This window comes from Homo sapiens, chromosome 10, assembly GCF_000001405.40.
Source record: "Homo sapiens chromosome 10, GRCh38.p14 Primary Assembly".
Classification (NCBI taxonomy): Eukaryota; Metazoa; Chordata; class Mammalia; order Primates; family Hominidae; genus Homo; species Homo sapiens.
In genome coordinates this window covers 98,717,483-98,742,996 of record NC_000010.11, presented here as the reverse complement: position 1 = coordinate 98,742,996, position 25,514 = coordinate 98,717,483, and the positions used below count along the sequence as shown (strand labels likewise).

At 36.4% G+C, this 25,514-nt stretch overlaps 1 protein-coding gene across 14 annotated transcripts in view; it reads left to right on the top strand.

Annotated features, from left to right (window-relative positions):
* The window catches only part of HPSE2 (heparanase 2 (inactive)), an 858,875-nt gene that overhangs the window by 572,955 nt on the left and 260,406 nt on the right, over window positions 1–25,514 (top strand). For all 14 annotated transcript variants that reach the window (XM_047425614.1, NM_001166245.1, XM_011540030.2 and 11 more), the window contains one exon: window positions 21,169–21,340. In XM_047425614.1, coding sequence (XP_047281570.1) covers window positions 21,169–21,340 — 172 coding nt within the window. The remainder of the gene's footprint in view (window positions 1–21,168; window positions 21,341–25,514) is intronic.

The window sequence follows — 25,514 nt, the reverse complement described above, 5'->3', positions numbered from 1 at the left end:
TCTCAAAAAAAAAAAAAAAAAAGAAAAGAAAAGGAAAAAAAAGAAGAGACCCATTCTTGGTTTCATTCTCTGCAGTCACCATCTTGAAATTCATAATAATGTTTTAACGAGGGGACTCATAGTTTCATTTTTCATGGGGACCTGAAAATTATGTAGCCAGTCCTGTTTAATCATTAAAGTGTGTGTGTGTGTGTGTGTGTGTGTATGTATGTGTGTGTGTGTATGTGTAACATAAGTTATCATTCATTCCATGGAACAATACTCCATGGAACACAATTTGGAGAAATATTTCCTAAATCGTGCTATTTTCTCAATGATATATATTTATTTGTGACATATGTTATTCTGTAGATTTCATGAATCTGTAATATTGAGTCAATATGGATTATAGTTAAAATTATTGATAGTATAGATATGAAAATATGTGATTCTCAAATTAAAAGACCTTTTGGTATACTTTAGAACAAAACAATTGAATCGAACAAACCAAGAATTCTCTTAAAATTACTGATGCAAATTGATTCCAACATTTTCATTAACAGTCTTATATGTCTCTAGCTAACCCATATTTGTTTGGAGCACTATATGTGTGAGTGTGTGTGTGTGCCCATGTGTATTTATTGCATCTTGGAATTTGGATTTCTCAAAATAAGATGGCAAGGGAAGAAAAGAATAAATGTCCAACTTTCCTACCAGTAGCCACTAACTGGAACGTAGCCCTCAGTTTCTTTCCTCTTTCTCTGCTTTTCTCTCTTCTTTACCTGTGGAAATTTGGGGATAGTTAGTTGACCAAATGGAGACCTGTTGAGTTAAACTCAGGATACCATGACTGTAGGAGTCTCAACTAGGGTAGCCTGAAGTTTTTCGTATTCCAGACTTGCCTGAGTATCATACATTTGACAACAAAAGCAGGAATGATATGATCAGCTTTGAAGTAGGCAAAAGTATTACATTGTCAGTAAAGTCTTTTACTGATCCCTTTCCATCCCATCTTCTATTTATATTTTTTGACATTTTTTGGTATTTTATGTTGTATACTCATGACCACTCACCTAACCTTACCCTCCTCAAATATCAGGCTCTGCCCAACTTAGCTTTATTCTCCAAACAGGGCAAAATATTCTTCAAACAGGGCATGACACCTGCCATGAGAGACCAATTAGGCATAATGGTTAAAAGAGGTGAGTATCAGACACTAAAGAATGGTGGGGCTTTTGTTGAACTGGAGAATACATGCCCAAAGGCTTTGTTTGGTTTTCTTGTAAAAATATTGTGCTGCCTACATAAAACTGGTTTGTAAAACATCTCAACTAATAATAGATACGCCCAAAGCAATTAAAACTTACCTACAAGTGATTGATGGGAATAATTATTCTAGGGTTTTTGGCATCTCTGAATGTGGGAGCTTGTTAAATTAAATAAATCTACAACTGGCATAATTGGAGTGATTTTGTGGCGGGGGTGGGTTGGAGAAGAGAATATATACATCTTTCTGTATATATCTGTTCCAGACAAGTAAGAACTTGCCCCTCCCCATCAACCTCCTTCCTTCAGACTGTGCTACATAGTTCAGAAAGGGAGCTAATTACACTTAAAAAAATGTTATTTAGACACCTTAACCACACATCATTTGGTTCCCATCATTGTCTTTTAAAGTGCCTCCTCAGGGGTTAACAACAACAAAGAATTATTTATAAAGAGGAGAAAGGGCACTGTCATTGATAAGAAAATAGGAATATAGATAGGAAAAGAACAAAAAAAACTCAATAAAGTGAAAAATAGCCAATAATGTGTATTTCTATAGGTCATTATGAATCTCGTCAGAAAATCTAGATTTAGTGTTTTCCCCTTAGAGTGCCTTTCTATTTTTTCTGTAACCATAATAAATGATTAATAAATAATAAATGATTATTAATGATAAATAATCATTTATTAAAGCTACATTTTAGAGTCTAAAGAATACATTTTATTGTTTGAAGATTTATTTTGCTGTTTCTCTAATTCATTTTACAACTACTGATAGTTTTTCTTGTACTAGAATCATCTCTCTTAAGATATCCAATGTACAGTATTCTGCTCAAAACTATTCTGTGTTGTATATTGAGCCTCTTCCCCCTCAAAATATTTTCATGGTAGACATGTTTCTCCAATATTCTAGCCATTTCTGCTTTGTAACCTTATCTTTTTGGACAGAGGTAATCATTTAATCATTATATTCACATTCAGGAAAGGACAATAGAACAGGTCAGTCTTCTTATCACTCATCTTTCCATATACCTACACCATGTTAACAAGTATTTTATCTCTAGAGCAAATCTAGCATTGGAAAAAACAAAGTATAAGTTTCTGTGATTGTTTCTTCTAGAGTGGCTAAACTTTAAGTGACTAACCTACCTCTTTTCCTCTTCTTTGAAAGCAGTGAATAGTGTGGGCTACAGACCACAAAAGCAAGATATACCCAATATCAAGAGGCAAAGATGAGAAAGGTTAGGATGTTAAAGAATATGAAAGAATGACTTTCTTCGGCCAGGCATGGTTGCTCACACCTGTAATCCCAGCACTTTGGGAGGCCAAGATGGGAGGATTTCTTGAGGTCAGGAGTTTGAGACCAGCCACAGCATAGCAAGACCCCATCTCTACAAAAAACTAGAAAATTAGCTGGGCGTGGTAGCATGCACCTGTGATCCTGGGTACTTGGGAGACTGAGGCTGGAGGGTCACTTGAGCCTGGGAGGTTGAGGCTGCAGTGAGCCATGATCATGCTACTGTTCTTGAACCTGGGTGACATGGTGAGACCCTGTCTCAAAAAAAAAAAAAGACAAAAGAAAAGAAAATCAAAAGCAAAACAAAAAAAAATGACTTTCTTGACACCATACTTTTTTACAATTACTTTCTTTGGATATAACATATTTCCCTAAATGTCCATAAATTGTAAACTCTGTAACTGATTAATGTAATGATTACAGATTTTTACATTTATATTAACCATTGGTGAATCTAAAGTAAGAAAGAACTGGAGAAATTTTTGAAGCTGGGACTCAAACTCTGGAAGTGTATATAAATTCTAGTCCAACTCCATTTCAGGGAAATGGTGTTTGTTCTCTAGAGAGCTATACTTAATCACAAAAATTACCTTAAGATAATGTAATACCTCTAATTGAATGAACACTGAACTACATTATGAACTATAAATGTGCTTCCCAAATATATCTGCCCATTTCTATAAGCAAGTAAAAGCTACTATAATTAATTATTGAATCAATATTATATATTCATACCCATAACCTGACCTATATACATTCACATGTTATTCTTTTATAAGAATTAGTTATATGACTCAGTTCTCTGGAGCCTGTCTACTAAGTAATTTTGTAAAATCAAGTTTCTGACCTTAGAAAGTCAGAGATGATGATTCTTATGATTCTGGCAGCACAGCTTGATTAATGCATTCCCTCAATATTTATTAAGCTTTTAGCCTGAGTTTAGGTGGATAAATGTATGATGTATTTATGTACTTTTTTTTCTTTTTTTCTTCTTCTTTTTTTTTTTACATGTGCAGAATGGGCAGGCTTGTTATATAGGTATACATGTGCCATGGTGGTTTGCTGTACCCATCAACCTGTCATCTACACTAGGTATTTGTCCTAATGATATCGCTCCCCTACCCCACTCCCCACGACAGACCACAGTGTGTGATGTTTCCCTCCCTGTGCCCATATGTTCTCATTATTCACCTCCCACTTATAAGTGAGAACATGCAGTGTTTGATTTTCTGTTCCTGTGTTAGTTTGCTGAGAATGATGGTTTCCAGCTTCATCCATGTCCCTGCAAAGGACATGAACTCATTCTTTTTTATGGCTGCATAGTATTCCATGGTGTATATGTGCCACATTCTCTTTTTCTAGTCTATCACTGACGGGCATTTGGGTTCGTTCCAAGTTTTTGCTATTGTGAATAGTGCTGCAATAAACATACGTGTGCATGTGTCTTTATGGAAGAATGGTTTATAATCCTTTGGGTACATATCCAGTAATGGGATGGCTGGGTCAAATGGTATTTCTAATTCTAGATCCTTGAGGAATCGCCACACTGTCTTCCACAATGGTTGAACTAATTTACACTCCCACCAACAGTGTAAAAGCATTCCTATTTCTCCACATCTTCTCTAGCATCAGTTGTTCTCTGACTTTTTAATGATCATAATTCTAACTGGCATGAAATAGTATCTTGTTGTGGTTTTGATTTGCATTTCTCTAATGACCACTGATGATGAGCGTTTTTTCATATCTTTGTTGGCTGCATAAATGTCTTCTTTTGAAAAGTGTCTGTTCATATCCTTCACCCACTTCTTGATGGGGGTTTTTTTTCTTGTAAATTTGTTTAAGTTCTTTGTAGATTCTGGATATTCGCCCTTTGTCAGATGGATAGATTGCAAAAATTTTCTCTCATTCTGTAGGTTGCCTGTTCACTCTGATGATAGTTTCTTTTGCTGTGCAGAAGCTCTTTAGTTTAATTAGATCCCATTTGTCAATTTTGGCTTTTGTTGCAATTGATTTTGGTGTTTTAGACATGAAGTCTTTGCCCATGCCTTTGTCCTGAATGGTATTGCCTAGGTTTTCTTCTAGGGTTTTTATGGCTTTAGGTCTTACGTTTAACTCTTTAATCCATCTTGAGTTAATTTTTGTTTAAGGTATAAGTAAGGGGTCCAGTTTTATGAATATGGCTAGCCAATTATCCCAACACCATTTATTAAATAGGGAATCCTTTCCCCATTGCTTGTTTTTGTCAGGTTTATCAAAGAACAGATGGTTGTAAATGTGTGGTGTTATTTCTGAGGCCTCTGTTCTGTTCCATTGGTCTATATATCTGTTTTGGTACCAGTACCGTGCTGTTTTGGTTACTGTAGCCTTGTAGTATAGTTTGAAGTCAGGTAGTGTGATGCCTCCAGCTTTGTTCTTTTTGCTTAGATTGTCTTGACTATATGGGCTCTTTTTTGTTTCCATATGAAATATGAAATTTAAAGTAGTTTTTTCTACTTCTGTGAAGAAAGTCAATGGTAGCTTGATGAGCATAGCATTGAATGTATAAATTACTTTGGGCAGTATGGTCATTTTCACAATATTGATTCTTCCTATTCATGAGTATGGAAGGTTTTTCCACTTGTTTGTGTCCTCTCTTATTTCCTTGAGCAATGGTTTGTAGTTCTCCTGGAAGAAGTCCTTCACATCCCTTGTAAGTTGGATTCCTAGGTGGTTTTTTCTCTTTGTAGCAATTGTGAATGGGAGTTTACTCATGATTTGGCTCTGTGTTTGTGTATTATTGATGTATAGGAATGCTTGTGATTTTTGCACTCTGATTTTGTATCCTGAGACTTTGCTGAAGTTGCTATCAGCTTAAGGAGTTTTGGGGCTGAGATGATGGGGTGAGCAGAAGCAGGGTGGGGCATCACCTCACCCAGGAAGTGCAAGGGGTCAGAGAACTCCCTCCCCTAGCCAAGAGAAGCCATGAGGGACTATGCTGTGATGGATAGTGCTTGCTGGCCCAGATACAACACTGGGCTGCACCCACTGTCTAACCAGTCCCAATGAGATGAAGTGGGTACCTCAGTTGGAAATGCAGAAATCACCTTCCTTCTGTGTTGGTCTTGCTGGGAGCTGCAGACTGGAGCTGTTCCTATTTGGCCATCTTGCCAGGGAATTGCATTTATGTTCCTTTATGTTTAATATATAAATGTGCATTTATATATTTTGGTCCTGTATTTTTATGTGTATATAACAGGTGAAAGCCAAACATAAGATTCAGTCACAGTCTTCACACATATTGTCAATTATTTATGAGGGTAGGTCACAGCTAAGAGCTTTAGAAAACTGTATTTTCAGAACATAGAGTTTTGATAGGGAAGGAGAGGAGGGGAAAAGAGGAGGAGGAAGAAAAAAACAAGAAACCATATAGTCTTTTTACCTGCTTCTTTTCTCAGTTTTCTCTTCCTGTCTGCTTCTCTCCTTCAACCTTCATCTTCTCAATTCTTTCCCCACAGACTCTTATCCAGAAACATACTCTCATGGTATTTAGTCATTCTTGCATTAACTATGTATGTGTGGAGCACCTGCAAAATATGCCAAGTGTGAAATGGGAGTTGGAGGAATCCTTGAATTCCTTCTCTGGCCACTACTTTATAGCTTGGCATAACATACTATGACACAGAGTGAATATACAGAACAAAGAAATTCTAGTCTCCAGGAGTTTAGTATCTAAAGGTAAAGTTAGGATAAACTTAAAACTATTAAACTATTAAACTCTTATATGCTAGAACTGGAGGAATCTCTTATAGTTTGAAAGAAGTGAAGAACTGAATCAGGAAAATTGTTAAACCAACAAATAATATATAATAAAAGTATAAATTAATGCACAAATGTATTCATAAATTCATAGCTTACATTTTTAAGCACTTAAGTTAATTATCCTTTGATTATTAAGGGAAGTGAGTGAAGTTTGAATTACATTGGTTCTTGGAGTTCATTATCATGGTGGAGAATCATGTTCTCTCACTAAAATTCTGGTTACTGTCACAGTTAGATAGTTACAGAAAACATTTGTGGGACAGCTGCTGTATAAAGTCCATTTTCATGCTGCTGATAAAGACATACTCGAGACTAGGTAATTTATAAAGAAAAAGAGTTTAAAGCACTCACAGTTCCATGTGACTGGGGTGGCCTCACAATCATGGCAGAAGGTGAAAGGCATGTCTTAAATGGCAGCAGCCAGAACTGAATAAAAAAAAAAACCAAGCAAAAGGGGAAACCCCTTATAAAATCCTCAGCTCTTGCGAGACTTATTCACTACCATGAGAACAGTATGGGGGAAACTGACCCCATGATTCAATTATCTCCCACTGGGTCCCTCCCACAACACATGGGAATTATGGAAGCTACAATTAAGATGAGATTTGAGTGGGGACACAGCCAAACCAAACCATATCATTCTACCCCTGGCTCCTCCCAAACCTCATGTCCTCATTTTTAAAAACCAATCATGCCTTCCCAACAGTACCCCAAAGTCTTAACCCATTTCAGCATTAACTCAAAAGTACACAGTCCAAGGTCTCATCTGAGACAAGGCAATTCCCTTCTGCCTATGAGCCTGTAAAATCAAAAGCAAGTTAGTTACTTCCTAGATAAATGGTAGAACAGGCATTGGATAAATACAGCTGTTCCAAATGGGAGAAATTAGCCAAAATAAAGGGGCTAATGGCCACATGCAAGTCTGAAATCAAGCAGGGCAGTCAAATCGTAAAGCTCCCAAATGATCTCCTTTGACTCCATATCTCACATCCAGGTCACGCCAATGCAAAAGATGGGTTCCCGTGGTCTTGGGCAGTTCTGCCCCTGTGGCTTTACAGAGTACAGCCCCATTCCTGGCTGCCTTCATGGGCTGGCATTGAGTCTCTGGAGCTTTTCTGAGGTCTAAAGGGTGGTGGCCCTCTTCTCATGGCTCTACTAGGCAGTGCCCCAGTGGGGACTCTTTATGGGGGCTTCAACCCCACTTCTCCCTTCCACACTGCCCTAACAGAGGTTCTTTGTGAGGGCTTCACCCCTGTAGCAAACTTTTGCCTGGATATACAGGCATTTCTATACATCCTCTGAAATCTAGGCAGAGGCTCCCAAACCTCAATTCTTGACTTCTATGCACCTGCAGGCTCAATACCATGTGGAAGCTGCCAAGGCTTGGGGCTTGCACCTTCTGGAGCAACAGGTTTCAAACTTGCTTTCGCATTTCGGGTATCTTTATGGCAGTGGCCCACTACCCGGTACCAATTTACTGCATTAGTCCCTTTTCTTGCTGCTGATAGAGATATATCCAAGACTGGGTAATTTATAAAGAAAAAGAGGTATGGTACTGTAATGGTGGATACATGACATTTTGCACCTTTCAAAACTCACACAACTGTATAACACGAAGAGTAAACCCAAATGTAGACTATGGATTTCAGTTAATAATGATGTGTCAATATTAGTTTATCATTTGTAACAACTGTATCAGACCAAGGCAAGATAATAATGGGAAATTGTGTGTGTTTGTGTGTGTTTGTGTGTGTGTGTGTGTGTGTGTAAGGGACAAATTATATGGGTACTCTTTGTACTGTCTACTCAATTTTCTGTAAACCTAAAATTGCTCTAAAAATAAAAATAAAGTTTATCAATTAAAAAAAAAGTGTGAGTCATGATGAAGACCTACTTCTTGGAAATATGAATATCATTTGCTGTCTTGTTTCACTGATATTAAGGACAACACAAGAAGCAGTTAAAAGAATATTTTGGACAAAATATTTTGTGTCTCCAAAGAGGATATACAAATGACAAGCAAGTACATGAAAAGATGCTCAACATCATTAGCCATCATGGAAAAGCAAATCAAAACCACAATTAAATACCACTTCACACTTACTAGGATGGCCAAATTTTAAAAAGGAAAAGTAAAGTAACAAATGTTGACAAGGTTGTGGAGAAACTGAAACCTTCACACACTGCTGGTGGGAATGTCAAATGGTACAGCCACTTTGGAAAATAGTCCAGTAGTTCCTCAAAAAGTTAAACATAAAATTACCAAGTAACCCAACAATTCCACTTCTAGATATATATCCAAGAGAAATGAAAACATACATCCATACAAAAACTTCTACATGAATGTTAATAACAGAATTACTTTTAATAGCAAAAAAAGTGGAAACAACCTAAATGACCATCAATTGATGACTTGATAAATGAAACGTGACAAATACATACAAAGAAATACTATGTGCTGCAAAATGAAGTACTGATACATTCTACAAATGGATGAACCTTGAGAAGATTATGCTGAATGAAAGAATCCAGTCACAAAAGACAACACATTGTATAATTCCCCTTATATGAAATGTCCAGAATAGACAAATCTACAGAGACGGAAAGTAGATTAGTGTTTGCTTAGGGCTGGGGAGCCCATGAGGGGTGAGGGGTGACTGCTAAAAGGCACAGAGTTTTTTCTGGGATTATTAAAATGTTCTAAAATGTGTTGTGATGGTTGCACAACTGTGTGAAAATACTAAAAACCATTGAATTATACACATGAAATTGGTGAATTGTATGTGTTTTATATCTCAATGAAGCTATTTAAAAAGAATAACATGTTTATCTTTCATTTTAAAGGGTATAAAATGCCTATTTCTTGCCACCGGTTGATTACAAAGACTTAGTGTTACTCTCTTAGAGGCTTATATTTGTAATTATCAGCAATATTGTCATCCTATATTTGCATAGTATTTAGTTTATGTAGCACTTCCAAATAGACTCTTCTATTTGGACCTCAAAATACTAAATAAAGTGCCTGATAAAGTATTAAACAAGTGAAGAAACACATTCAAAGAGGTGACGTGATTTGCTAAAGGCAGCAGTAAGTACCAAATCTATGTCAGGAACTTGGGAAATCTAATAGAAAGTGAAGTACGTTTTCTACTGCCCTATGGTTATTACTTTTTAAATTATGTTTAGATTTCTTGGCTTTCTTCACTAGGTTAGAGAGATACAATGGTAAATAACAGGCCAGTCATGGTGGCTAATGCCTGTAATCCCAGCACTTTGAGAGGCCAAGGTGGGCAGATTGTTTGAGCTCAGGAGTTTAAGACCAGCCTTGGAAACATAATGAAACCCCATCTCTACAAAAAAATACAAAAAATAAGCAGAATATGCTGGCGTGCACCCGTGGCTCAGCTACTCAGGTGGCTGAGGTGGGAGGATCACTTGAGCCCAGGAACTCAAGGTTGCAGTGAGCCAAGGTCGCACCACTGCACTCCAGCCTGGGTAACAGAGCAAGACCCTGTGTCACACACATACACACACAATAGTAAATAACAGATGAATATAACTGCCTACATCCTTATAGAAGAGATAGATATTAAATAGAAGGACCTGAAAACAGTTGCTCTTCCCTAGTGACTAATGTTGTTGGGCACCTTTTCATGTACTTACTAGCCATTTCTACTTCTTAATTTGTGAAATATCAGCCCAAAGCTTTTGCTCTTTTAAGTGGGTTATTTTATTATTGAATTGTAAGAGTTCTTTATATATTCTGGATACACGTATTTTTTTAAAAATTCAAGTATATGATTTGCAAATAATTTTTTTACTTCGTCTTTTGTAACTTGATGGCATCTTTTAGTCTAAAAGCTTTGAATTTTGATAAAGTTCAATTTATGAGGTTTTACTTTATGGATTATGCTTTTGGTGCTATAATCTTTGCTTAATCCAAGATAACAAGGAGTTTTTTCCTATATTTTCTTCTAAAAGTTTCATTGTTTTAGCTCTTACATTTGGCCCTAAATCTATTAGGAGTTAATTTTTGTGAACGTTGTGAAGTAAGGCTATAAATTAGTCTTTTTGCATGTGGATATAGAGATTCCCAGTACCATTTATTAAAAAGACCATTTTTTCCCCATTTACTTATCTTGGCACCTTTGTAAAAAAAAAATCAATTGACCATACATAGTTTTGTTTCTATACTCTTAATTCTGTTCCGCTGATCTGTATGTCTTTCCTTATGCTAGGACTACATTGTCTTAATTACAATAGCTTTACAAAGAGTGCTAGAATTTGGAAATGTAAATCCTCCAACTTTGTTCCTTTGTTTTTCAAAATTAATTTGGCTATCCTGGGTGTTTGAATTTCCATGTAAAATTTGGGATTAGCTTGTTAATTTCTTCATCAAAGCCTCCTGGAATTTTAATGGGATAGCATTGAATCTATAAATCAATTTAGGGAGAATTACCATCTTAACAATACAAAATCTTCCTATCACGAGCTTAGATTATCTCCCATTTATTTAATTTTTAATTTATCTCAGCAATGTTTTGTAGTTTTCAGTGTATAAGTTTTGTACTTCTTTTGTTAAATACTTGTTCTTAAGTATACTATTCTTTTTGATGCAATTGGGAATGGAAGTATTTTTATAATTTCACTTTTGGATTGTGTATCAATAGTACTTAGAAATATAATTGATTTTATAAATTGATATTGTATCCCCTCCAACCTTGCTGAATTTATTCTTTAGATTTTGTATTTTTTCCCCTCCTGTGTGTGGATTCCTTAGGATTTTCTGTATGTAGGATCATATTGTCTGAGAATAATAACAGTTTTGCTTCTTTCTTTCCAATTTGGATGCTTTTTATTTCTCTCCCTTGCCTGACTGCACTGGCTAGAATCTCTAGTACAAATGTTGACTCTTAAGTGGCAAGAGCAGACATCCTTGTCTTCTCCTTAGTCTTAGGGGCACACAGTCCATATTTCACCATTAAGTATGATGTTAGGTCTAGGTTTTTCTTAGATACGCTTTATCAAGTTGAGAAAGTTCCCTTCTATTCAGTTTGTTGGGAATATTTATCAGGAATGGGTGTTGCATTTTGTCAGATGAGTTTTGGTGGTGTTGTTGCAGCTATTGAGATGATAATTTAGTTTTGGTCTTTTGTTCTATTACAATGGTATTTTACATTAGTTAAAAGGCTTTAATATTAAATCAACCTTGCGTTCTTGGCATAAATCCCACTTGGTCATAGTGTATAATACTTTTCATATGTTGCTGGACTTACTTTGTAAATATTTTGTTGGGGATTTTACATCTATGTTATGAGGAATATTTGTCTGTAGTTTTCTTGTGATGTCTTTGTTTTGTTGTTGTTGTTGTTGTTTTTGAGAAAGGGTCTCACTCTGTCGCCCAGACTGGAGTGCAGTGGCACAATCTCGGCTCACTCCACCTCCCAGACTCAAGCGATTCTCCTGCCTCAGCCTCCTGAGTAGCTGGGATTACAGGTGTGCACCTCTAATGCCTGGCTAATTTTTGTATTTTTAGTAGAGACGGGGTTTCACCATGTTGGCCAGGTGGGTCTTGAACTTCTGACCTCAAATGATCCACCTGCCTCAGCCTCCCAAAGTGTTGGGATTATAGGCGTGAGCCACTGCACCCAGCCTCTAGTGATGTCTTTGACTGGCTTTGGTGTCAGGGCAATATTGGCCTCATAACATAAGTTGAAAAGTGTTCCCTCTTCCTCCATTTTCTGAGTTTGTAAAGCATTGGTGTTTCTTATTTAAATATTTAATAGAATTCACCAACTAATCCATACGGATCTGGGCTTTCTTTGTGGAAAGATTTTTAATTACTACCTCAATGGGTTTTCGTTGTTGTTATGTGTCTATATAGATTTTCTGTGTCTTATTTAGTCAGTTTTAATAATTTCTGCATTTTTTAAAAAAATTTACCATTTTATTTAAGTTTTCTAAATTATTGGCACAAAGATTTTCATAGTAGTTCCTTATCAACTTAATTACTGTGAGATTGTTTAGTGGTGTTCCCTTTTGGTAATCTGTGACTTCTCTCTCTCTTTTTTCGGTGGTCAGTCTAACTAAAGGTATATCGGTTTTGTGGTCTTTTCAAATAACCAACTTTCGCTTTCCCTGTATTTTCTCTATTTTAAAAATATCATTGATATCTACTCTAATTTTTATTATTTCATTCCTTTGTTTTGCTCGGGTGTAGTTTTCCGTTCTTTTTTCCTTTCTTAAGGAGGAAACTTAGGTTATTGATTTGAGATCTTTGTTCATTTCTAATATAGGCACCTAAGGCTATAAATTTCCCCCTAAAGCATTGCTTAAGCTGCATCCCATATCTTTTTATGTATTTTATTTTCATTTTTATTCCACTTTAATTTTGTTTATTTCCTTGTGATTTCTTCTTTGATCAATGGATTATTTGTTAAATTTTCAAATATTTGGGGATTTCTCAATTTTTGTTGAATTCCAGTTTAATTCTATTGTGATTAAAGCACATCCATTGTATGATTTTAATCCTTTTAAATTTATGAGATTTGTTTTATGTCTTACAATATGATCTGTCCTGAAGGATGTTTTCTCTATGTACTAGAAAAGAATATGTATCCTGCTGTTGTTGGGTGGAATATTCTGTAGATGGCAATTAGGTAAAGTTAGCTGATAGTGCCAGTCAAGTCTTCTATATTCTTGCTGATTTTTTTATCCAGTCGTTTCATCTATTATTAAGAATGTAGTGTTGAAGTCTCCTTCAATTGTTCTTGAATTTTCTATTTCTCTCTTCAATTTTGTTTAAGGTATTTTGATGGTGGTGTTAGGTATATATATGTTTCTAATTGTTATATCTTCCTGATGTTGAGACCTTTCTTCTCATTATAAAATGCCTTTTATCATTATAAAATGCCTCATATTATCTCTAGTAATGTTTTTATCTTAAAATCTATTTTTTCTGATATTAGTATAGTTATTTCTGCTCTCTTATGGTTACTGTTTATATAGTCTACCTTTTTAAATTAATTTATTTATTTATTTATTTTTTGAGACAGAGTCTCGCTCTGTCACCCAGGCTGGAGTGCAATGGCGTGATCTCGGCTCACCGCAAACTCCACCTATCAGGTTCACGCCATTCTCCTGCCTCAGCCTCCCAAGTAGCTGGGATTACAGGCGCCCGCCACCACGCCCGGCTAATTTTTTGTGTTTTTAGCAGAAATGGGGTTTCACTGTGTTAGCCAGGATGGTTTTGATCTCCTGACCGCGTGACCTACCCATCTTGGCCTCCCAAAGTGCTGAGATTACAGGTGTGAGCCACCATGCTGCAGCCTACATAGTCTACCTTTTAAAAAAAAATTTTACCTTCAATCTGTTTGTATTTTTGAATCTGAAATATGTCTCATATTAGGATCTATTTTTTATTCAGTCTGATAATTTCTGCTTTTAATTGGAGTATTTAATCCATTTCCATTATTTGAGATTGTTGATATAATTGACTTTACATGTGCCATCTTGCTGTTTTCCATTTATCTCGTGGCATTTTTGTTCCTCTGTCTCACTTTTCATGCCTTTTTATGTAAAAGAAATATTGTCTAAGGTACTGTTTTCATTGTTTTGTTCTTTTCTTTTCTTTTCTTTTCTTTTGTTTCATACAAGGCCCTGCTCTGTTGCCCAGGCTAGAGTGCAGTGGTACAACTACAGCCAACTGTAGCCTCAACCTCTTGGACTCAAGCGATTCTCCCACCTTAGCCTCCTGAGTAGCTGGGACTGCAGGTGCATGCCACTACACCCAGCTAATTTTTAAAATTTTTCGTAGACATGGGGTTTCACTGTGTTGCCTAGGATGGTCTTGAACACCTAGGCTCAAGCAATCCTCCCACCTCAGCCTAGCAAAGTGCTGGGATTACAGGCATGAGCCACCACACCCACCCTGTTTTGTTATTTTCTTAGTAGTTTCTTATCACAATACATCTTAACTCATCACAATCTATTTTCAAGTAATACTAACTTAATTCTAGGTTTGTTCGTTTGTTTGTTTTGAGACAGAGTCTCACTATGTCACTCAGGCTGGAGTGCAATGGTGTGATCTTGGCTTACTGCAACCTCTGCCTCCCAGGTTCAAGCGATTCTCCTGCCTCAACATCCTGAGTAGCTGGGATTACAGGTACCCAGCACCACACAGGGGTAATTTTTGTATTTTTAGTAGAGACAGGGTTTCACCATGTTGGCCAGGCTGGTCTCAAACTCCTGACCTCAGGTGATCCACCCACCTCGGCCTCCCAAAGTGCTAGGATTACAGCTGTGAGCCACCATGCCTAGGCCTTAATTCTAGTTTAATACAGAAACTTGCTTCAGTACAGTTTCATTCCCCAGTCCTTTGTGCTATTATTATTCTAAATATTATATCTTTATATTTTATAAGCCCAACAATAGAGTTGTGTATTTTTGTTTTATGCACTGTCTTTTAAATCAGTTAAGAGAAGAAAAGAGTAATGAATATTTTTTACAGTTATTCATGTAATTACCTTTATTTATGTCTTTTATTTCTTTGTGTGATTTTGAGTTACCATCTGGTATCATTTTATTCCAATCTGAATGACTTCCTTTTTTATTTCTTATAAGGCATATTTGCTCACAACAAAATCTCTTCTCTCTGTTTTTCTCAGAATGTTTAACTTTGCATGCAGTTTTCAAGGATAGTTTGCTGCATATGGAATTCTTGGTTATCAGTTTTGTTTTGTTTTCTTTCAGCATTTTGAATATATCATCCTACCATCTTCTGGCCTCCATTTTTTTCTGATAAAAACTGAGCTGTTAATCTCATTGTGTTCTCCTGTATGAGATTAGTCATTTAAGTTCAATAATTTTATTTGACTGTTTTTTATAATTTCTTTTTCTTTATGTATATTTCTATTTGATGAATCATTAACATTATACTTTCCTTTAGCTCTTTATTATTTTTAGTTTGTTTTTTTTTGTTGTTGTTGTTTTTTGTTTTTTTGAGACAGTGTCTCACTCTGTCACCTAGGCTGGAGTGCAATGGTGCAATCTTGGCTCACTGCAACCTCCGCCTCCTGGATTCAAGCAATTCTCCTGCCTCAGCTTCCCAAGCCAAGTATCTGGGACTATGGGCGCATACCACCATGCCCAGCTAATTTTCATATTTTTAGTAGAGACAGGGTTTCACTGTGTTGGCCAGGCTGGTCTTAAAATCCTGACCTCAAGTGATCCATCTGCCTTGGCCTCCCAAAGTGCTGGGATTACAGGCATGAGCCACTGTGCCCAGACTGTCTTTAGTTCTTGAACATATTTATAAGTCTTTGACTGCCAAGTCTAATATTTAGGGCCCCTAATATAGAGGCAGTTTCTATGTTTTTTGCTGGTATGAGTCAAACTTTTCTATTTTTTTCATGTATAATAGCTTTTTTGTTGAAAACTACATATTTTAGATAATATACTGGACCAACTCTGAATTCTGTACTTCCATACCATAGGTCTTGGACTAACTCTATAGAGTCTGTCTCCCTTGAGTCGTGTAGCTACTGATATCTCTTAAGTTTTTTTATTTCTTAATCATTTTTTAATTGTTAAGACAAGTCTCCTGGGGGTTGCACTTGAGTCAACATAGCTTAATGGTGAGCTGAAGATTGATCAGAGGTTTTGCTTAATTCCCGTGAGCCAGTAAGCCTTCCACCTTTTGCCAGTGCATCTCTGTGTTGGTTGGGAAACACATTAAAAATTTAGGTCTTTTACAAGTCTAACTGGGATTTTACTCTCAGTCATGGCTTCTGATGTTTCCTTTATAAGTGTCCTAGGTTTCACACTTATCTGGAAATGTGTGGATAGCTAGGAATCCTCCTACTATCCACACTTCTATCCTGTAGTCCCTCCTAAGCATATTTAGCCTTCTAGATTACAGGGAGTATGTGTGAGATTGTCAAGGTTCACTGTGGCTGCCTTATTCCCCAAATTTTCCTATTATATTTCTTTTATTATTATTATTATTATTATTATTATTATTATTATACTTTAAGTTTTAGAATACATGTGCACAACGTGCAGGTTTTTTACATATGTATACATATGCCATGTTGGTGTGCTGCACCCATTAACTCGTCATTTAGCATTAGGTATATCTCCTAATGCTATCCCTCCCCCCTCCCCCTGCCCCACAACAGTCCCTGGTGTGTGATGTTCCCCTTCCTGTGTCCATGTGTTCTCATTGTTCAGTTCCCACCTGTGAGTGAGAACATGCGGCATTTGGTTTTTTGTCCTTGTCATAGTTTACTGAGAATGATGGTTTCCAGCTTCATCCATGTCCCTACAAAGGACATGAACTCATCATTTTTTATGGCTGCATAGTATTCCATGGTGTATATGTGCCACATTTTCTTAATCCACTCTATCATTGTTGGACATTTGGGTGGGTTCCAAGTCTTTGCTATTGTGAATAGTGCCACAATAAACATACGTGTGCATGTGTCTTTATAGCAGCATGATTTATAATGCTTTGGGTATATACCCAGTAATGGGATGGCTGGGTCAAATGGTGTTTCTAGTTCTAGATCCCTGAGGAATTGCCACACCAACTTCCACAATGGTTGAACTAGTTTACAGTCCCACCAATGGTGTAAAAGTGTTCCTATTTCTCCACATCCTCTCCAGCACCTGTTGTTTCCTGATTTTTAATGATTGCCATTCTAACTGGTGAGAGATGGTATCTCATTGTGATTTTGATTTGCATTTCTCTGATGGCCAGTGATGGTGAGCATTTTTTCATGTGTTTTTTGGCTGCATAAATGTCTTCTTTTGAGAAGTATCTGTTCATATCCTTTGCCCACTTTTTGATGGGGTTGTTTTTTTCTTGCAAATTTGTTTGAGTTCATTGTAGATTCTGGATATTAGCCCTTTGTCAGATGAGTAGGTTGCAAAAATTTTCTCCCATTTTGTAGGTTGCCTGTTCACTCTGATGGTGGTTTCTGTTGCTGTGCAGAAGCTCTTTAGTTTAATTAGATCCCATTTGTCAATTTTGGCTTTTGTTGCCATTGCTTTTGGTGTTTTAGACATGAAGTCCTTGACCATGCCTATGTCCTGAATGGTATTGCCTAGGTTTTCTTCTAGGGTTTTTATGGTTTTAGGTCTAACATTTAAGTCTTTAATCCATCTTGAATTAATTTTTGTATAAGGTGTAAGGAAGGGATTCAGTTTCAGCTTTCTACATAAGGCTAGCCAGTTTTCCCAGCACCATTTATTAAATAGGGAATCCTTTCCCCATTCCTTGTTTTTGTCAGGTTTGTCAAAGATCAGATGGTTGAAGATATGCAGCATTATTTCTGAGGGCTCTGTTCTGTTCCATTGGTCTATATCTCTGTTTTGGTACCAGTACCATGCTGTTTTGGTTACTGTAGCCTAGTAGTATAGTTTGAAGTCAGGTAGCATGATGCCTCCAGCTTTGTTCTTTTGGCTTAGGATTGACTTGGCAATGTGGGCTCTTTTTTGGTTCCATATGAACTTTAAAGCAATTTTTTCCAATTCTGTGAAGAAAGTCATTGGTAGCTTGATGGGGATGGTATTGAATCTATAAATGACCTTGGGCAATATGGCCATTTTCACGATATTCATTCTTCCTACCCATGAGCATGGAATGTTCTTCCATTTGTTTGTATCGTCTTTTATTTCATTGAGCAGTGGTTTGTAGTTCTCCTTGAAGAGGTCCTTCACATCCCTTGTAAGTTGGATTCCTAGGTATTTTATTCTCTTTGAAGCAATTGTGAATGGGAGTTCACTCATGATTTGGCTCTCTGTTTGTCTGTTATTGGTGTATAAGAATGCTTGTGATTTTTGCACATTGATTTTGTGTCCTGAGGGTTTGCAATCCTAGTCTCAGATAAAACAGACTTTAAATCAACAAAGATCAAAAGAGACAAAGAAGGCCATTACACAATGGTAAAGGGATCAATTCAAAAAGAAGAGCTAACTATCCTAAATATATATGCACCCAGTACAGGAGCACCCAGATTCATAAAGCAAGTCCTTAGTGACCTACAAAGAGACTTAGACTCCCACACAATAATAATGGGAGACTTTAACAACCCACTGTCAACATTAGACAGATCAACGAAGACAGAAAGTTAACAAGGATATCCAGGAATTGAACTCAGCTCTGCACCAAGTGGACCTAATAGACATCTACAGAACTCTGCACCCCAAATCAACAGAATATACATTCTTTTCAGCACCACACCACACCTATTCCAAAATTGACCACATATTTGGAAGTAAAACACTCCTCAGCAAATGTCAAAGAACAGAAATTATAACAAACTGTCTCTCAGACCACAGTGCAATCAAACTAGAACTCAGGATTAAGAAACTCACTCAAAACCGCTCAACTACATGGAAACTGAACAACCTGCTCCTGAATGACTACTGGGTACATAACGAAATGAAGGCAGAAATAAAGATGTTCTTTGAACCCAACGAGAACAAAGACACAACATACCAGAATCTCTGGGACACATTCAAAGCAGTGTGTAGAGGGAAATTTATAGCACTAAATGCCCACAAGAGAAAGCAGGAAAGATCTAAAATTGACACCCTAACATCCCAATTAAAAGAACTAGAGAAGCAAGAGCAAACACATTCAAAAGCTAGCAAAAGGCAAGAAATAACTAAGATCAAAGCAGAACTGAAGGAAATAGAGACACAAAAAACCCTTCAAAAAATCAGTGAATCCAGGAGCTGGTTTTTTGAAAAGATCAACAAAATTGATAGACCGCTAGCAAGACTAATAAAGAAGAAAAGAGAGAAGAATCAAATAGACGCAATAAAAAATGACAAAGGGGATATCACCACCGATCCCACAGACATACAAACTATCATCAGAGAATACTATAAACACCTCTACGCAAATAAACTAGAAAATCTAGAAGTAATGGGTAAATTCCTTGACACATACACTCTGCCAAGACTAAACCAGGAAGAAGTTGAATCTCTGAACAGACCAATAACAGGCTCTGAAATTGAGGCAATACTTAAGAGCTTAGCAATCAGAAAATGTCCAGGACCAGATGGATTCACAGCCAAATTCTACCAGCAGTACAAGGAGGAGCTGGTACCATTCCTTCTGAAATTATTCCAATCAATAGAAAAAGAGGGAATCCTCCCTAACTCATTTTATGAGGCCAGCATCATCCTGATACCAAAGCCTGGCAGAGACACGACAAAAAAAGAGAATTTTAGACCAATATCCCTGATGAACATTGATGCAAAAATCCTCAATAAGATACTGGCAAACCGAATTCAGCAACACATCAAAAAGCTTATCCACCATGATCAAGTGGGCTTCATCCCTGGGATGCAACGCTGGTTCAACATACAAAAATCAGTAAATGTAATCCAGCATATAAACAGAACCAAAGACAAAAACCACATGATTATCTCAATAGATGCAGAAAAGGCCTTTGACAAAATTCAACCACCTTCATGCTAAAAACTCTCAATAAATTAGGTATTGATGGGACATATCTCAAAATAATAAGAGCTATCTATGACAAACCCACAGCCAATATCATACTGAATGGGCAAAGACTAGAAGCATTCCCTTTGAAAACTGGCACAAGACAGAGATGCCCTCTCTCACCACTCCTATTCAACATAGTGTTAGAAGTTCTGGCCAGGGCAATCAGGCAGGAGAAGGAAATAAAGGGCATTCAATTAGGAAAAGAGGAAGTCAAATTGTCCCTGTTTGCAGATGACATGATGTCTATCTAGAAAACCCCATCGTCTCAGCCCAAAATCTCCTATTATATTTCTTGCAAGTCTACAGGTTTATTTCTTGTACCTGCCAGTATCATAGTCTCAAGCCAGCTGAGATGTTGGCCTTTCCTGGGGTATGCACACCATTCCAAATCAAATTAGCCTCCTCCAGCTGTGGAGCTGCTCGTTTCAGGGAATTTTTCTCCCCTTTTAGAACTACCAAGGTAATGGAAGCTGAAAGAGGAGGCTTTGCTCAAAATTACTTCAATTAGCTACTTTGTTATTAATGAATATTAATATTTTTTCTGACTTTTTGGCAGTGAACATCTTTATGAAGATTTCACTTCTTACCATGTGTATTAGTTTTCTACGCTTGCCATAACAAATTATCACAAATTTCGTGGCTTAAAACAACAAAAATTGCTTCTCTGATATTTTAGGAGGCCAGAAATCTGAAACCAGAGCATCAACAGTATTGGTTTCTTCTGGGAGTTTTGAGAGAGAATCTATTCCATGCCTCTTTCCTAGCTTCCGGTGGCTGCCAGCAATGCTTAGCCTAGCAACATCTCTCCAATCTTTGTTGTCACGTGGCATTCTTCTCTCTGTGTCTGGGTATCTGAACTTCCTTCTCCTTTCTCTTATAAAGACAGAAGTCATTGGATTTAGGACCCACTGTAATCTAGTATGACCTTATCATAACTAATTATATCTTCAGAGATCCTGTTTCCAAATGAGCTCACATTCTGAGATTCTGGTAGACATAAATTTTGGGGGACACTGTTCAATCCAGTATACAATTCGTTATGAAGTAGCACCTGAAAATCTGTATGGTCTCCGGTGTTGATTAGGTTATCTTTTTGTGAAAATTAGTTTGAAAATGAATGGAACAGCAAGCTAACTTGACCTTTTTTTGTTTGGGTGGTTCTTTAAGTTAAAATAATTCACACCCACTTTTTTATTGTTTTTTTTTTTCATATTATTAAGAAAAAGGCAGAGAGATCTGTGGACAGGAAAGTGTTGGCAGAACCTTACACTTCTCATTCTGACTTACATGTCTGCTTTTAATCTAGAGCCAAATAACTATCGGACCATGCATGGCCGGGCAGTAAATGGCAGCCAGTTGGGAAAGGATTACATCCAGCTGAAGAGCCTGTTGCAGCCCATCCGGATTTATTCCAGAGCCAGCTTATATGGCCCTAATATTGGGCGGCCGAGGAAGAATGTCATCGCCCTCCTAGATGGGTAGGTCAGATTATTTAGCTTTTCTTATGACATTGTTCATTTAATGAATTAATGTATTTGCATTTCTCTTGGTTATTTATTTATTTATTTATTTATTTTGGTCTTAAGAAAAAAGGAGGGACTCTTTCCATAGTGGCTTCACCCACTCTAAGACAGAGATTCTCCATCTTTCTCATCTTTCTAGGCCTTCCATAGTCAACAGGGGGTGGTGGGATGGGGAAGGTATATCACAATCTCTAGGATGGGTTGGAAAGGAAACATTGTTTGAAAAACCACAATTAATATTATGCATCTTATAGCATCATTTTATATTTTTTAAAACAAAAAAAAATTACTCTATACCAGTGTCCTCTTGTAGAAAGTGAAGCTTTACAAAATCTTGGCCAGCAAAGCTGGGTTAAAAAGTTGCAAAACACTACAAATACTGGTAGATTAAAGGTCTTAATAGGCCTATTAGCAGATATTCTAGAGAATTGCTACCACTTTTCCTATTTAGTTTTGACTGAATCTGACAATCATTTTTAAAAATCACGCAAGGCAAGGAAAGATACTGATCAGGAATTTTTCTTTTATGTGTCAGAAAAAAAAAATAGAGATTTATCTCTCTTAATGTGTATGTACTAAATATACAGTGAAATATAACTAGAAACACATAAACATCCCCAGCAACTTGAACTAACAATAACAAAAATGTCAGCACTCTAAATTACCAGCTCTGTATTCCTTTCTAATCCTCCTGGTTATACAGATATAATTTTACATAGTTGTGATCATTGTATATGCATCATTTTGAGTGCTGCATTTTTTACTCATTGCTTCACATGACCCTTTCCTTATTTCTACATAGTTCTCATATTGTCATTCTTAATAGCAATAAAATATACCATTGCATTAGTGCACCAAAGTCTGCCTAAGCATTCCCTCACTGTTGGGCATTGGACTGTTTCCAAATTTTGCTTGTAATACATAGCACAGCTATAAACATTTTTATACAAATCGGTTATTTATTTCTTTTGAATTACATCCTTGGGCTATATTCCAAAAAGTAGGGTTTCTTGGTCAAAGTATATGATCATTTTTATGGCTTTTATATTTGTTGCCAAATTTTTTTCAGAACAATTTCATCAGGTTTCAGGGCAGCAATGTATTAGTATATCTTTTTCCCTAATATCTATAGCAATAAATGTTGTCAATTTTATTAATTTACCCTATTTTAATTAATGCAAGATCATGTTGCATGGTTGTTTTAACTTGAATTCTGTTAACTATGAAAATAACTCAGCATTTTCAAATCCTTATGTTTCCTCTTATCCCCCAAATTTGGTTAGTAACACAACCAAATTCTTATGTTTCCTCTTATCCCCCAAATTTGGTTAGTAATGCAATAACCATTTTGCCTGAGACCCAGACATGGAAGCCGTTTTAGATCAGTCTTTTCCTTTGTTCACACACTCAATTCGTTATTAAGTACTGTAATTTCTGATTTCTTATTATCCCTCATATCCCATTTTCTTTTCATTTTTATTTTAAACCTTATTTTATTTTCAACCTTACTGTTTTTAATTCTAAGTGATTTCTTGGTATCTAGCTAGCCTCAAACTCTAATAATCTTTCCATATAGATTCCTGAGTAGTTATTTTTTATTGTTGTTTTTTAAACACAGAGTCTCACTCTGTCAGCCAGGCTGGAGTGCAGTGGCATGATCTCGGCTCACTGCAACCTCCATCTCCTGGGTTCAAGCAATTCTCCTGCCTCAACCTCCCGAGTAGCTGGGATTACAGGTGTGTGCCACCATGCCTGGCTAATTTTTGTATTTTCAGTAGAGATGGGGTTTCGCCATGTTGGTCAGGCTGGTGTTGAGCTCCTGACCTCAGGTAATCCACCCGTCTCGGCCTCCCAAAGTGCTAGGATTACAGAATAGTTTTTTTTCTTCTTCTTTTTTTTTTTTTTTTTTTAATGCAACATCTGGTCAAGTCACTTCTGCTTGAAATCCAAACCCTTTCAGATGCACTCATGACGTTTAGGGTCTGCGCCTGCCTAAATTTGCAGCTAATAAGCAGTGATACCCCCTTGCCCTCTAATTACATCTAACTACATCAAAGTACAGTAAATTTTTAATGTAAATTTTGGAAGATACCCTACTCTTTTATACCTTTACATCTTTTTATTTTGTTTCATTTTGTTAAGAATACCAGCCTCTCCTCTTGTTTTTCTCCTTTCTCTAGATCTTCTCTGACATGTTGAGGCAGGGTTTCTTAGGGCCTCCTCTGTCCTTGCATGGCACTGTATTTTTCTGCTATAGCACTTATCAAATTGATGATAACATTTGTTTATATATCTGCCAGCCATGATAAACCACAGAGTAGGGTCAGGACCCCATTTGTTTTATTCATTCTATATCTTCAGAATCTAGGAACATAGTAAGTGTGTTATAAATGCTTGTTGAATGAGTAGTATCTGTCTTATTCAACAACTGATTTTAAGGTCATCTAACGTAAAAACAGTATGCATAATTGTAATTATGAAGCATTGAAAAGCATTGTATAAATAATGATTTGAATGGCTTATGTTGATTTTATAAATCATGACTAACTTCAGTTTTATGAAACTATACCAATGTCTAAGTTTTTAAAAAATTTTATTGATACATAAAAATCGTACGTATTTGTTGTACATATTTATGACAATTTTTAAATTATTTCTTTGTGTTGGGAACATTCCAAATCTCTTCTCACTATTTGGAATATACAATAAGCCACTGTTAACTATTGTCACACTACTGTGCTATTGAACACTAGAACTTATTCCTTCTATCTAACTGTGTTTTTGTACCCATTAACCAACCTCTCTTTATCCTCCCTCTCTCCTTCCCTTCCTAGCCTCTGGTTACCACCAATTCTCTACCTCCGTGAGGTCCACTTTTTCATTTGCTCCTACATGTGCATGAGAACATACAATATTTGTCTTTTTGTGCCTGGCTTGTTTCACTTAATATAATGTCTTCCAGTTCCATCCGTGTTGCTGAAAATGACAGAATTTCACTCTTTTTATGGCTGAATAGTATTCCATGTGTATATATACTACATTTTCTTTATCCATTCATCCTTTAATGGACACAGGTTGATTCCATATCTTGACTATTGTGAATATTGCTGAAATAAACATTGAGGTGTGCATAATATTTTTGATATACTGACTTCCTCTATTTTGGATACATACCCATAGGTGGGATTGCTGGGTAAGCTTTTTTATTGAGGTAGTTACAGAACTAAACAGGACTGTCTTTCCAGTTAGGATATGAACTCTATGAAGACAGAGATAGAATCTTCATGTTCGTATTTAGTATCTTCAGGGATCAGCCTGTGGCCTGGAAAATGGGAATTACTTAATAAAGTGCCTATTTTATTGTTTTCATTTCCTTATTTGGGAACTGGCTATTCTTAATCATCAGTTTTATCTAAAGGCATGAGAATTACTATTTAGAGTTATATCAGTTTCTTGTTTTTCTTTTGTAAACTTTTATGCATCATCTATGTAATGACAATTTTATCTTAATCTAGTGCTTTTCTTGTGTGTGTCCTAAAAGATGTTTTTATTGTCTTAGAATTTTCTTTTCATTATGGTTTTTCTTGTCTCATATTGTTCAACAAGCTCTGCCTACAAAATAGAAATCCTAGTCAAAAGGAGATTTATCTAAAAAAATTATATATCCAATAACAGAGAAAAACCTATACCTCTACCTTGACAAATCTACTTAGTCCCTAATTTTTAAAAATGAGTACAGGCAAACCTCATATTTATTGCGCTTCACATATATTGAATTTTTTATAAATTGAAGGTTTGTAGTACCTCACTTCATGTGTCTGTGTCACATTTTGGTAATTCTTGCAACATTTCACGTTTTTTCATTATTATTATATCTATTATGGTGATCTGTAATCAATGATCTTTGATGCTGCTATTGTAATTATTTTGGAGCTCCATGAACTATAAGATGGCAAACTTAATCAACAAATGTGTGTTCTGTCTGCTCCACCCACCAGCCATTCTCGCATCTCTCTCCCTGTTCTCAGGCTTTTCTATTCCCTGAGATGCAACAATATTAAAATTACACCAATAAATAACACTACAATGGCCTCTGAGTGCTCAAGTGAAAGACTTACATGTCTCTCAC